The 12630-nt window shown below is 54.1% G+C and overlaps 1 protein-coding gene across 3 annotated transcripts, besides 5 other annotated features; it reads left to right on the top strand.

Annotated features, from left to right (window-relative positions):
- Nucleotides 1–63: 63 nt before the first annotated feature.
- PBXIP1 (PBX homeobox interacting protein 1) lies at nt 64–12083 on the top strand. 3 transcript variants are annotated; one of them, NM_020524.4, is made up of 11 exons: nt 64–94; nt 2406–2492; nt 4242–4368; nt 4628–4692; nt 4766–4931; nt 7797–8030; nt 8158–8181; nt 8451–8521; nt 8615–8746; nt 9360–10591; nt 11046–12083. In NM_020524.4, the coding sequence occupies exons 2-11, from the start codon at nt 2442–2444 to the stop codon at nt 11137–11139; spliced, it is 2196 nt and encodes a 731-aa protein (NP_065385.2). In that variant the 5' UTR covers nt 64–94; nt 2406–2441; the 3' UTR covers nt 11140–12083. The 3 variants fall into 3 exon arrangements, with proteins under 3 accessions (NP_065385.2, NP_001304663.1, NP_001304664.1); NM_001317734.2 differs by lacking the exon at nt 2406–2492 and having other exon boundaries at nt 4244–4368; NM_001317735.2 differs by lacking the exons at nt 2406–2492; nt 4242–4368; nt 4628–4692 and having other exon boundaries at nt 4907–4931.
- Nucleotides 3679–4178: an enhancer, noted in NCBI's record as "H3K4me1 hESC enhancer chr1:154924461-154924960 (GRCh37/hg19 assembly coordinates)". NCBI's record gives its function as "activates a minimal SCP1, AML or CMV promoter by ChIP-STARR-seq in naive H9 embryonic stem cells {active_cell/tissue: H9 hESC(naive)}" and the evidence as "EXISTENCE:reporter gene assay evidence [ECO:0000049][PMID:30033119]".
- Nucleotides 3808–3917: an enhancer, noted in NCBI's record as "active region_1797". NCBI's record gives its function as "activates an Ori minimal core promoter by ATAC-STARR-seq in GM12878 lymphoblastoid cells {active_cell/tissue: GM12878}" and the evidence as "EXISTENCE:reporter gene assay evidence [ECO:0000049][PMID:35858748]".
- Nucleotides 4288–4337: an enhancer, noted in NCBI's record as "active region_1796". NCBI's record gives its function as "activates an Ori minimal core promoter by ATAC-STARR-seq in GM12878 lymphoblastoid cells {active_cell/tissue: GM12878}" and the evidence as "EXISTENCE:reporter gene assay evidence [ECO:0000049][PMID:35858748]".
- Nucleotides 11083–11584: an enhancer, noted in NCBI's record as "H3K4me1 hESC enhancer chr1:154917055-154917556 (GRCh37/hg19 assembly coordinates)". NCBI's record gives its function as "activates a minimal SCP1, AML or CMV promoter by ChIP-STARR-seq in primed H9 embryonic stem cells {active_cell/tissue: H9 hESC(primed)}" and the evidence as "EXISTENCE:reporter gene assay evidence [ECO:0000049][PMID:30033119]".
- Nucleotides 12316–12385: an enhancer, noted in NCBI's record as "active region_1795". NCBI's record gives its function as "activates an Ori minimal core promoter by ATAC-STARR-seq in GM12878 lymphoblastoid cells {active_cell/tissue: GM12878}" and the evidence as "EXISTENCE:reporter gene assay evidence [ECO:0000049][PMID:35858748]".

Here is a 12630-nt window from a genome sequence, read left to right as displayed (position 1 = left end):
GTCAGTTTCTGGTCACATGATTTTCTTCTCGGGCTGCAAACAAAGGGAAGCCTGCAACAAGTTAAGCTGAAGACCGAAGCAAGAGCTGGTTCAGGTAATGCCTTAGCTGGGAAGGGGTCCACAGATTCGCTTTGAAGGGGGTGGAATAAGGAAAAGGGAAGGCGGAACTAATCTAGAAGGAATGAGCTGCTTTTCATTTCTGGGCTGGGGGAGGAAGGCCAGGTGCCGACGCTAACACAACAGGAACTTGCTCTGGGTACCCCAGGCAAGTGGCCCTAGATCCTTTGCTTTAGCGGTTTGGAGGAGCAACTGTTAGAGGAGTTTAAATTAACTAGAGGCGAGACTTCCTAGCTTTATGCTGAGTGGGAGAGCTCCCCCTTTAGCTGTTTTTTAGAAATAGCAGAAGTCTCTGTCATAATCCTTACAGGAGGTGTTTGTTGAATCCTGCCTGAATGAAAAGAAGGGGGTGGAGGGAGGGAGTGGAGGTGGGTTTTCTTCCAGAAGGTCGATGAAAAGAAAAAGATCTGGAAACACAGCAGGGAAGGGTGGAGATTAGACAGCAGAAGGAACTTCCTAATAAGGCAGTGAGATGCTGGCTTGGGAGAAGAGGTGTTTTTTTGAACCCTGGGTTAACCTAACCAAGAAAGAGGTATCAGGGTTTGGAACCCAGAGTATAGGAGTTTCAGAGTGTCTCCTATTTGGGTCTCATAAGTATTTGTTTTGTTGACCCAAATACCTTTGCTGGTTTCCATGGAGACAGTGGGTCTGACATCACTGTGGTTGCCATGGTGCCTGGTTCTAGAGGACCTGAGCAGGCTGCACACACAGCTAGGGATAAACAGGGACTTCAGCCCAAGCTGCTGCCACTTCCTTCCTGCCACCACCTGTTAACAGTCAGCAACTGGGGATGGGGAGATGATAACAAGGGCGGGGGTGGAGCCACAAGCGGAAGGCTGAACAGCCATGGCTCTATGGATACTTACAGATGCATGCCAGGGTGTCCTGTTGGATTTGGTACAGGGAGGTCATTGCAGCCATTCTCCTGTCTCCGTGTGGAATGGGTGCATGTGTCTGGGAGGATGGGCATTGGGAAAGACCTATCCAGGACTTGGATCTTGACTGGCAGGAGCCACAGGAGGTTACTTAGGGCACCACGCAGGACTTGAAAACAGCTCAAACAGAAGGGGATAATGTGGTTGGTTTCAAAGGTAGAACTGCCATACTCTCCCAGCCTCACTTCCCTTTTCCTGAGTTTTCTTATAAAGTGCTCGGGAAGCAGTCATTTATCCTGTTCTGAGGGATCACAATCCAGTACTCTTGAGAGGTCAGCTCATCTATCCTTCCACCTTTATGCCTGGTCCCAACAGGAGCTGCCTGAGGGAACTGTTTTAGCCTTGGATGAAGGGGCGGATCCCTCTCTTCTTACCCTGCTTTGTGTCAGTCAGGCTTTGGAAACTGGAGTGATTCCCTCCCCTATCCCTGTCAAGTCAGAGCAGATTAACCGGGTGCAGGACCATAGCCCTGATTTTTGTCTATTTTTTGCAAGCTATAAAGTGATGTATATATACATGATAGTTGCCATAAATCCATTTTCCCAGTCACCTTCAAGTTCCCTAAGACCAAACTCTGGCGATTACTAAGAAGGTAAACAGAATTTAGGATGAAGACTGAGAGTGATGAGGAGACTTATAAAAGGTGCATCCAGGTGGATCTAAGCTATGCCAGTGGCTCTTAACCCTGGCTGCGCATGAGAATCATTTGAGTGGTTTTTTAAAAGACCCACAGCCGGGCCTACCCCCCAACTCAATTGAATCAAAATCTTAGGTGATTCCAATGTGCAGCCAAGATTGAGAACCACTGAACTAGACCATACCAAGGACTTATGCTGGGCAAGTGGTGGGACACTTAGGGCTGAAGGAGGCCATTGAGTCTTCCCTTCCAGGTCCTGGGGGAGAAGGTAGTGATTGTGTAGGTACCTGGTGTTGTGAAGGGAGGGCTGTGTTGTTTCCCTGCTCTTCTTATTAACAAGTCTTCTTATTGGCAAGTTGAGTCTGTCAACCTTGCTGGGCTTCATCTTCCCTGACTCAAATGTCAGGGGGCTGGACTGGAATTCCCCAGAGCCTTTCCAGCCTATGCTACTTTGACCTTTCAAGGTCAGTTCAGTTTTCCAAGGCCCTGTTGGTCCCTGGAAGAGGCTGGCTTCTCTGTGGGTGTTGGCAGATTCTGATTTGCAAGGCAAATACTGCTTAGAAGAGCTGGGGTGTCAGGGAGAGAAGGACTGGAACCAGGCTTGGTTCTGGAGGCTGCTGCCCAGCACTTGAACCTTGGAACCCAGCCAAGGCTGCTTTCTGCATTCTGCCCCTCCTGAAGGGAGCTCCCATCCTTAAGAGAGCTTTCTTCTGCAGGTGGCAGCCACAGCAGCCTCAGGGACCTCAGCAACTATGGCCTCCTGCCCAGACTCTGATAATAGCTGGGTGCTTGCTGGCTCCGAGGTAGGAAGAGCGGGCCTGGGAACCATGGGGGTGGGGTTGGGGGGTGTTTCTGCAGTGCTGGGCTTCTTTCTTGGTGGGTCCTTTTCCTTAGTCCTGATGGTCACCTACATCACTTCCTGCTGGCTGTTAGAGGAATTCCAGTAGCAGGAAGAAGTAGATCAGGCCCCAGGGGTCAGGTGTTGGCACTTGGACCATGCCATGAAGGAAGGGACCAGTTGGGTAAGCTGAGACAAGTAGGGATGGATTTCGAATGGAGAGACCAATGTGAACAAAGGTCCTGAGGCGATAGTGGGGAACGCCATGCTGGGGGAGACTGTGGGACACCCATGGGTGATGTGGAGACGTGGGTTGGAGCCAGTGTTGGAGTGAGGTTGGGGACAGAGCCTGGGAACCCCTGGAAGAGACCGGAAGAGCCTGGCTGAGGCCTTCAGGCCTCATCCTGATGGGAAATCAGTGTGGGGCTTTGGGTTAGAGGGATCAGGACAATCATTGTCTCAGGCAGAGGGTGAAGCCACTGTGCATGCTGGGTGGGAACAGGGAGAGAGTGTTTCAAAGACCCCCTGCAGCAGTCCAGGTAGCAGCTGGTGGGGCAGAAGCCCACTGAGGAGGGAGAAGGGGGTTGGCAGGATGGGGAACTGAGTGGCTAGAGAAGGGATGGCAAAAATTTGTCAAAGGCATCTCTGAGAGTTCCAAGACGTAGCGACTTTGTATATTAGAGCCACCAGGAGGGGAGGAGGAGAGAAGCTCAGTTTCAACATGTTGAGTTTGAGGTGCCCTTGAGGAACCCAGCTGGGAGTAAGGAGTTGACCTTGGGGATGACGCTGGAGCAAGATAATGGACTGGGGCTCACTGGCAGAGGGAAGGCAGGTATGAGCAGACGGGCACCAGGCTCTCAGAGCCCTGGCCTCCTGTTGAGGTGTCTTTGTTGACAGCTGGGGGACCTTGGGCATGCCATTTCACCTCTCTGTCCTCTCCTGTAAAACGGGCGTCATGATTTTTGCCTTGTAGGGGGGACCATGAGAATAAAAATGTTTTGAAAATAGCAAAGACATAACTAAGGTGAAGCATTACTCTCAGAGGGATAGTTGGAGCCACGGGGCGGGTGGCAGGCCAGGGCCCTATGGAAGGGGAGTAGGCAGAGGGAGGAGGCCGAGGCTGTGTGGCCAGGGCTGGATGTCCAGGCTGAGAGTGCCCTGGAGACAGGCTGTCTGTGGTTGGGGTGGGTTGGGCTTCTGTGAGCAGCTGCTGGGAGACGGGTGTCGGGGGAGTGTCAGGGGCCAGCGGGAAAGGCCAGAAAGGCTTGAGAGATGTAAGTAGTTGTCCAGTTGAGAGGGCAGCTGCAGGGACACCCTGGGAGGCATAACTGTGACCCGTGGGCACCCAGGGGACTTTGTTCTCTTGCCTTCTTCCCACCCTTAATATTATAATATCTGGGTTGTTCATCTGTGGGGAAGGAAGTGCTGCTGATCTTGATGGGAGGGAAACGTAGGCTCTAGCTCACCTTCTGGAGGCGGGGCACCAGGTTTGTACTGCAACCAGTGCCTTGGTCTGGTGGTGCGGCGCTGTGTAGCGGAAACCTGGCCCCTGAAAGTTCCTCCTCGCAGTGAGTGAGGCTGGGGAATGCCGAGCACTTGGTGCTGCCCCGAGCCCCTTTTTGGGCCAGCTCATGACTGAATGTGTGTGTTTCTGGGATGTGGGCTGGGGCCCCATTCTTGGGTGCAGCCCTTCTCCTTGCACTTCTCCTCCCAGAGCCTGCCAGTGGAGACACTGGGCCCGGCATCCAGGATGGACCCAGAATCTGAGAGAGCCCTGCAGGCCCCTCACAGCCCCTCCAAGACAGATGGGAAAGAATTAGCTGGGACCATGGATGGAGAAGGTACTGGGCCCTGCTTAGGACATAGCTTACCGGACAAAGCTATTCTCCATATTTTGGGGTTTCTCAGTTTCCTCAGAGAAAGGGAGGCTGGTTCGTTTTAGTTCCTCCATTAATCTCAGTTGACAAACTCCTTTTCTCATTCCATCCTGGCTTTTTCCTGCCTCTTCCAACCTGGTAGGGGCCCGTGGGATGGACAGAGGGCTGCAAAGGAAATTCAGCTGGGGCAGTGGGTTTTTCTGCGCCTTTTCTCCTACCGCAGGGACGCTCTTCCAGACTGAAAGCCCTCAGTCTGGCAGCATTCTAACAGAGGAGACTGAGGTCAAGGTGAGGAGATTTGCTGTGGGAAGGAAGGGAGGCGGGGAGGGCTAGCAGCTGCTCACTGCTGCATCTGCATTAGGGCACCCTGGAAGGTGATGTTTGTGGTGTGGAGCCTCCTGGCCCAGGAGACACAGTAGTCCAGGGAGACCTGCAGGAGACCACCGTGGTGACAGGCCTGGGACCAGACACACAGGACCTGGAAGGCCAGAGCCCTCCACAGAGCCTGCCTTCAACCCCCAAAGCAGGTGAGAGTCTTCCTTGCCTCTCCTGTCACTCTCCTTCTAGAAGGTATGGGAGAGGGATCAGCCATCACTACTGAGCACATGCTGTGGTCCAGGCCCTAGGGCTGAGCAGCTTGGTGCTCTCCTTTCTCACCACTACCCCTGGGACGTTGAGGCCCAGAAAGGTTGAATGACTTGACCAAGGTCACACTGCTGGTAAGGGGCAGGGCCCACATCTGGTTGACTCTTTCCTCTCTGCCATGGGGACCTCCTCTTTTCTTGCTTCCAGAATTCAACCCTCATTTCTGGAGTCCCTTCCTTGTGCTGGCCCTGGGCCTGGGCAGAGGGAAGATGGTTGGTTACCGCCTATGTAAGCGGCAGATCAGACTGAGCCAAGGTGCATATCAGACCTAAGAGTGGTACAGAACTGTAATTAAGGTACTCCCAAAGGAAGGAGAGGCCATTCAGTCAGGGGACTGGTTGAGGGCAAGGGAGAGGCTGGGACAGTGAGAGGTGACATTTGAGTGGAGCCCTGAGCACAGAGTAGGCTTTTGGTACGTAGGGCAGGGAAAAGAGAATGTTTTAGGCCAAGGCTGCAGCATCAGCAAAGGAGTGGGGACCACCTGTCTTGTGCTAAGGAGCTCTGTTCCAGGCTTGTGGCAGAGGAGTGTAGGAATTGGTCCCTGTTGAGTGACAGGATGGAGGGCCTGGGGGCCATTTAGGAGGCAACTGCAGTGGTCAGGCAAAGATGATGCAGACCTGGGCCAGGCATGGTGGCTCGTGCCTATAATCCCAGCACTTTGGGAGGCTGAGGTAGGAGGATTGCTTGAGCCCAGGAATTCAAGACTGCAGTGAGCCATGGTCATCCCACTTCACTCTAGCCTGGGCAACAGAGGGAGACCCTGTCTCTAAAGGAAATAAAAATAGGCGGCAGGGTGCAGTGGCTCACGCCTGTAGTCCCAGCACTTTGAGAGGCCAAGGTGGGTGGATCACCTGAGGTCAGAAGTTTGAGACCAGCCTGGGCAACATGGTGAAACCCCGTCTCTATTAAAAATACAAAAATTAGCTCGGTGTGGTGGTGCACGCCTGTAGTCCCAGCTACTTCCCAGCTACCTGGGAAGCTGAGGCAGGAGAATCGCTTGAACCTGGGAGGCGGAGGTTGCAGTGAGCCAAGATTGTGCCACTGCACTCCAGCCTGGGTTACAGAGGTAGACTCTGCCTCAAAAAATAAAAATAAATAAAATAAAATAAAATAAAATAAAATAAATAAAAATAAAAATAGGCTGGGTGTGGTGGCTCACACCTGTAATCCTCACACTTTGGGAGGCACAGGCAGGAGGGGCTGGGCTAGGGTAACCCACCTAGGCCAGGCGTCTGTCCTAGCATCCTCCCCCAAAAGGAATGTTTCCTATTTACCCACACATCCTGACCCTCCCCTCTCCCACTATAGTCAGGGCGTCTTCCCAGTTCTTGGTTCACATCCCTTGTGCTAAGGTTTGGGCCAGGGCTGGCATACCTGTTCCACATGGTACATGAAACATACATGGTATCACCTGTGATTGATTGGTGTGGTCTGCCTGGAGCACTGTGTGGAAAAGGATTTAAAGAACATGCCAGGTGCCATGATCAGTTAACACTGTTCCAGGTATGGGAGGTGGAAACAAGACTGTGAGAGCCACACATTGGCTATCCTTAGGTGAATCTAGGAAGTGTGTGCTTATATAAAGATGTAGATGCCGAGGCTCAGGATGGAATTTGGGGATCCCTGTGTCTCATTCATGATGGAGATGGGGTGGAGGATGAAAACCAAATCCTCTGGGTGTTCCAGGCAGGTGGATCACTTGAGCTCAGGAGTTTGAGACCAGCCTGGGAAACATGGCAAAACCCCGTCTTTACAAAAAAATACACACACACACACACAAATTAGCCGGGTGTAATGATGCATGCCTATAGTCTCAGCTACTCAGGAGGCTGAGGTGGGAGGATCGCTTGAGCCTGGGAGGTGGAGGTTACAGTGAGTTGTGATCGTGCCACTGCACTCCAGCCTGGACGACAGAGCCAGACCCTGTCTCAAAAAATAAAAATAAATAAAAATAAATAAATATTAAAAAAAAAAGAAAGAAGATGCAGACCTGAACTAAGGCAGGTACAGTGTGGGTTGTGAACAGGGGTGGACTGTCAAGATGTTTAAGTGTAGAACTGTGAAACTGTCTGGATGTGAGGTGGAGAGGGAGGGCTTAGGTTAGCTAGATGGTGGAAGCAGTGCCTTCCCCTGAATTGGGGAAACACCAGAAAAGAACCAGTTTGCAGAGCAGTGTGTTGAATGTTTGGTCCCAGAGGGAGTGGCCAGCAGGCAGTCAGACATACAGGCTTGGAGCTCTGGGAGGCCAAGTGAGGAGTTACACACTAAGGACTCATTGCTGAAGGGGGGTGTCAGTGGTGTGGGTCAGAGAATTGTGACTATGTGTACAGTGAGAAGAGCAGAGAACCTGAAATGGTGCCAGGGAGACCACTGACTTTAGGATCAGGGAAGAGCCAGGGAGGGAGAATGGGAAGGAGTGGCCAGAGAGTTTGGAGGCAACCCAGGAGGGTGGTAATAGCTGCAGAAGTTTGATGCACAGCGCACACTGAGGAAGGAGGATGCTTTCAGGATGAAAATGGCTTTTATAGCTCGTAGATTGACAGCACTGGTCTCCTGCCTCCAGACTGGGCAGGGACAGTCATCAATGCCCAGGCAGAAGTGGGCAAGTGGGCAAGGTCTTCATGTGCCCCTCTCTGGGGTCAGGGCTGACGACCTCCCTCCCTGTGCCTTCCTCTGATTCCCCTCTCTCCCTGTGTCTCCCCATCTCTCCAGTCACCTCACTGCCCTGTCCCTGTCCTTTCCCCTAGCTTGGATCAGGGAGGAGGGCCGCTGCTCCAGCAGTGACGATGACACCGACGTGGACATGGAGGGTCTGCGGAGACGGCGGGGCCGGGAGGCCGGCCCACCTCAGCCCATGGTGCCCCTGGCTGTGGAGAACCAGGCTGGGGGTGAGGGTGCAGGCGGGGAGCTGGGCATCTCCCTCAACATGTGCCTCCTTGGGGCCCTGGTTCTGCTTGGCCTGGGGGTCCTCCTCTTCTCAGGTGAGTGGTACCTCTGAGGCTGGGGCTTTGGGCTTCCATGCCTGCCTGCCTTCCTGCCATGTTCTCACCTTACCTCACATCACCCCTCCCCGAGGGCCTCATCAGACTCCTCTGTCTCTGTCCTTAGGTGGCCTCTCAGAGTCTGAGACTGGTGAGTAGGGAGGAGCCTGTCTTGTGCTGGGGAGTTGTATGTGTTCTCTGGTTCTGTGGGTCAGGAGTAGGGGTGCTGGGGGCTCACATTTATTTCTCAGTTAGTGGCCTTGTCAGCTGTTCAGGGTGCCCCTTGGCCCTTTATCTCACCAAACCGCTCAGCCACAGGGTGGGTCCTGAGCAGGAGTGGTGGCTGTGTGAATGGGAAGGTGTGGGGAGAATGGGCTCTGTGTGCCTCAGGACCAGTTTCAGGGTTTCCCTTTCCCACAGGGCCCATGGAGGAAGTGGAGCGGCAGGTCCTCCCAGACCCCGAGGTGCTGGAAGCTGTGGGGGACAGGCAGGTATGTGTGAATGTCTCCAGAGGCAGGTGGGGCCTGGCTGGGGAGAACCTGGGCTGTGGGGTAGCATGGCATAACAGGCTCTTCTGCCCTCAGGATGGGCTAAGGGAACAGCTGCAGGCCCCAGTGCCTCCTGACAGTGTCCCCAGCCTGCAAAACATGGGTCTTCTGCTGGACAAGCTGGCCAAGGAGAACCAGGACATCCGGCTGCTGCAGGCCCAGCTGCAGGTGGGCACAGGCAGGAGGGGCTGGGCTAGGGTAACCCACCTAGGCCAGGCGTCTGTCCTAGCATCCTCCCCCAAAAGGAATGTTTCCTATTTACCCACACATCCTGACCCTCCCCTCTCCCACTATAGTCAGGGCGTCTTCCCAGTTCTTGGTTCACATCCCTTGTGCTAAGGTTTGGGCCAGGGCTGGCATACCTGTTCCACATGGTACATGAAACATACATGGTATCACCTGTGATTGATTGGTGTGGTCTGCCTGGAGCACTGTGTGGAAAAGGATTTAAAGAACATGCCAGGTGCCATGATCAGTTAACACTGTTCCAGGAAATAAGACTGTGAGAGCCACACATTGGCTATCCTTAGGTGAATCTAGGAAGTGTGTGCTTATATAAAGATGTAGATGCCGAGGCTCAGGATGGAATTTGGGGATCCCTGTGTCTCATTCATGATGGAGATGGGGTGGAGGATGAAAACCAAATCCTCTGGGTGTTCCAGGCTGTAAAACGGGCTCAGGCCACCTGCCCACTATAATAGAATGGAATTGGGGTAGAAGGCATTGGGGCTATCCTGACAAGAACTCTTTGTGACTTCCTTTGTCCCAAACCATATTCTAGGCCCAAAAGGAAGAGCTTCAGAGCCTGATGCACCAGCCCAAAGGGCTAGAGGAGGAGAATGCCCAGCTCCGGGGGGCTCTGCAGCAGGGCGAAGCCTTCCAGCGGGCTCTGGAGTCAGAGCTGCAGCAGCTGCGGGCCCGGCTCCAGGGGCTGGAGGCCGACTGTGTCCGGGGCCCAGATGGGGTGTGCCTCAGTGGGGGTAGAGGCCCACAGGGTGACAAGGCCATCAGGGAGCAAGGCCCCAGGGAGCAGGAGCCAGAACTCAGCTTCCTGAAGCAGAAGGAACAGCTGGAGGCTGAGGCACAGGCATTAAGGCAAGAGTTAGAGAGGCAGCGACGGCTGCTGGGGTCTGTACAGCAGGATCTGGAGAGGAGCTTGCAGGATGCCAGCCGCGGGGACCCAGCTCATGCTGGCTTGGCTGAGCTGGGCCACAGATTGGCCCAGAAACTGCAGGGCCTGGAGAACTGGGGCCAGGACCCTGGGGTCTCTGCCAATGCCTCAAAGGCCTGGCACCAGAAGTCCCACTTCCAGAATTCTAGGGAGTGGAGTGGAAAGGAAAAGTGGTGGGATGGGCAGAGAGACCGGAAGGCTGAGCACTGGAAACATAAGAAGGAAGAATCTGGCCGGGAAAGGAAGAAGAACTGGGGAGGTCAGGAGGACAGGGAGCCAGCAGGAAGGTGGAAGGAGGGCAGGCCAAGGGTGGAGGAGTCGGGGAGCAAGAAGGAGGGCAAGCGACAGGGCCCGAAGGAACCCCCAAGGAAAAGTGGTAGCTTCCACTCCTCTGGAGAAAAGCAGAAGCAACCTCGGTGGAGGGAAGGGACTAAGGACAGCCATGACCCCCTGCCATCCTGGGCAGAGCTGTTGAGGCCCAAGTACCGGGCACCCCAGGGCTGCTCAGGTGTGGACGAGTGTGCCCGGCAGGAGGGCCTGACTTTCTTTGGCACAGAGCTAGCCCCAGTGCGGCAACAGGAGCTGGCCTCTCTGCTAAGAACATACTTGGCACGGCTGCCCTGGGCTGGGCAGCTGACCAAGGAGCTACCCCTCTCACCTGCTTTCTTTGGTGAGGATGGCATCTTCCGTCATGACCGCCTCCGCTTCCGGGATTTTGTGGATGCCCTGGAGGACAGCTTGGAGGAGGTGGCTGTGCAACAGACAGGTGATGATGATGAAGTAGATGACTTTGAGGACTTCATCTTCAGCCACTTCTTTGGAGACAAAGCACTGAAGAAGAGGTGGGCAGCTGTGGGGGAGTTGGGTCGGGTGGGACAGAGGCAGTCGGGAGGATGTGAAGAGCAAGGATCATTAGTTTGAGTATCCTTACTTTTGGTCCCCAGCTGGCTTCCCTTAGAGAAGGCATTCAGGTCCGCTTCCTTTCTTCCCTTGAGGGTAGGAAGCTGCCTGTGCCCACCCCAGAGTGGTCCTGAGCAGTCCCCTTTTGGGCAGGGGGATTCTTTCTCCTGAGTTGCCCTGCCCTACCTCTACCTGCATGGCCCAGGGGACGAGGGAGATCCCCATCTTCCTGTCTCCCCGACTGGAGCCTTTATCCTGGGAGACCAGGTTTTTCCCACATATGCTTGGTGGTGCCTGCTCAAGTCAGCTTCATTGGGAGGAGCAGGGTCCTCTCTCCTTGGGGAACCCGTTTTCATTGCATGGTATTGTCCCCTAAAGGCCTCTTCCTCCCCACAGGTCAGGGAAGAAGGACAAGCACTCACAGAGCCCAAGAGCTGCGGGGCCCAGGGAGGGGCACAGCCATAGCCACCACCACCACCACCGGGGCTGACACCCTGCCCCACAGGGAATGGCCTTGGCCTGGCCCAGCCCAAGATCCCAGCGTTATCTAACTCCTGGAGGGTGGACTCTGTCCTGGCTTGTTTGGTGTCCTCAGATATCTTTCACACAGTAGAGCAAAATCACCAGCCCTGCACTGATGTCACTTTATGTAGAAAAAGGCCTTAGCTGGACCTGCGTTGCCGTCTATGCAAATGCATGCAAATACTCCAGGCCCTGGGATGTGGGCTTGTGTTTTGTCACTGTGAAGGGGGAGATGGGAGAGGAGCCTGTTTTGGGGTGGGGTCTGGGGAAGGCAATCTGATTCTGAAGCTAAAGAGCTTTCATCCTCTTGAGTGTATGTCCCCATAGTGGGCCCCTTGACCCACATGCTGACCGGTGCCTTGGGATTTGACTAGAGTTGCTGGCTCGAGGCCCAGCACGAGGACTTACCCTGGGGTTTTGTTAGGTTTGGAAGCAGCTGTCCCTAGGGGGTGAAGTCCCCCCCCTTTTTTTTTTTACCCCTGCTTCTCCCACGGCTTCACCTCCCTATGTGAACTGTAGACTCAGATCCCAATAAAGTGCTGTTGCAGCTATGATGCTAGGTGGTTTCTAAGCACAGGGGACACCCCACACCCCCTGCCTGAATGGATGGGTCCATCCCAGGCACTGGTACTTGCCCCCTTGTTCTGTATCCCCCTTTGCCCTTGCCTTGCCCTTCCAACAAACCCTAGGCCCTTGAGAAGCTGATACTTCTCCTTTTGCTCACAGCTGCCTTGGCCCCACCCCTGGGAGATGTAGCAAATTGAGTGTGGGTTTTGGAGTCTGAGCCTCAGGCTCAAATCCAGGCCAAGTGATCTTGGGCAAGTTAATCTCTGGGAACTTTGGGTTTCTTATCCTCAAAAAAGGCGATGGAAGGGCTGGGGAAGTGATTAAATAAAAGCAACGCAAGAAAAATGCCTCTCCTGTTTTGGGCACTCAAAAGTTATTGCCTTCTTTAGGGAAGGGTGTGGAGGAGGGAAAAGAACCCAGGCCCAGAAGGAAGAGCTTCTGGGGCTGGGGAGGTGAGGGAACCACTAGGTGGCACCCTGGCTCCATTTTGCTCCAGACCTCGCCTCTCCCACTACTCACTGTCCCCAAAATCTCAGACCCTACCCCACTGACCCCAGCGCCTGCTCCACTGGCCAGCTCTCCCAGGATGACCAGACTCCCCTTGGCTATTCTCTAGGAAGTCCTTCCTGAGATCTAACCTTAGTCCCTTCGGCAATACACTGGGCTTTTTGATGACCCTGGAAATGCCCAGGAAGTACAGGAGACAGAATAATGTGGTGTGACTGCTCAGGCAGGAGGCGGGGGACTACAGGTTCTAGAAGGGGCTGTAACTGATTTCTGTATTATTTAGCAAGCGAATATGTAACTCTGTTTAAGGGCTTAAAGGTATTAGTTCATTGAATTCATGTGTGGGTGGGGCAGGGGTTAGGGCAGGCTGGGGATGGAACAAGGA

The sequence above is a fragment of the Homo sapiens genome, chromosome 1 (assembly GCF_000001405.40).
Source record: "Homo sapiens chromosome 1, GRCh38.p14 Primary Assembly".
Classification (NCBI taxonomy): domain Eukaryota; kingdom Metazoa; phylum Chordata; class Mammalia; order Primates; family Hominidae; genus Homo; species Homo sapiens.
This window is presented reverse-complemented; position numbering and strand designations above follow the sequence as displayed.

Coding starts and splice junctions, on each gene's coding strand:
- PBXIP1 (NM_020524.4), top strand. CDS start 2,442: ATGGCCTCCTGCCCAGACTCTGATAATAGCTGGGTGCTTGCTGGCTCC. Junction 8,031..8,157: donor GGGGGTCCTCCTCTTCTCAG/GTGAGTGGTACC, acceptor CTCTGTCCTTAG/GTGGCCTCTCAGAGTCTGAG. Junction 8,522..8,614: donor AAGCTGTGGGGGACAGGCAG/GTATGTGTGAAT, acceptor TTCTGCCCTCAG/GATGGGCTAAGGGAACAGCT.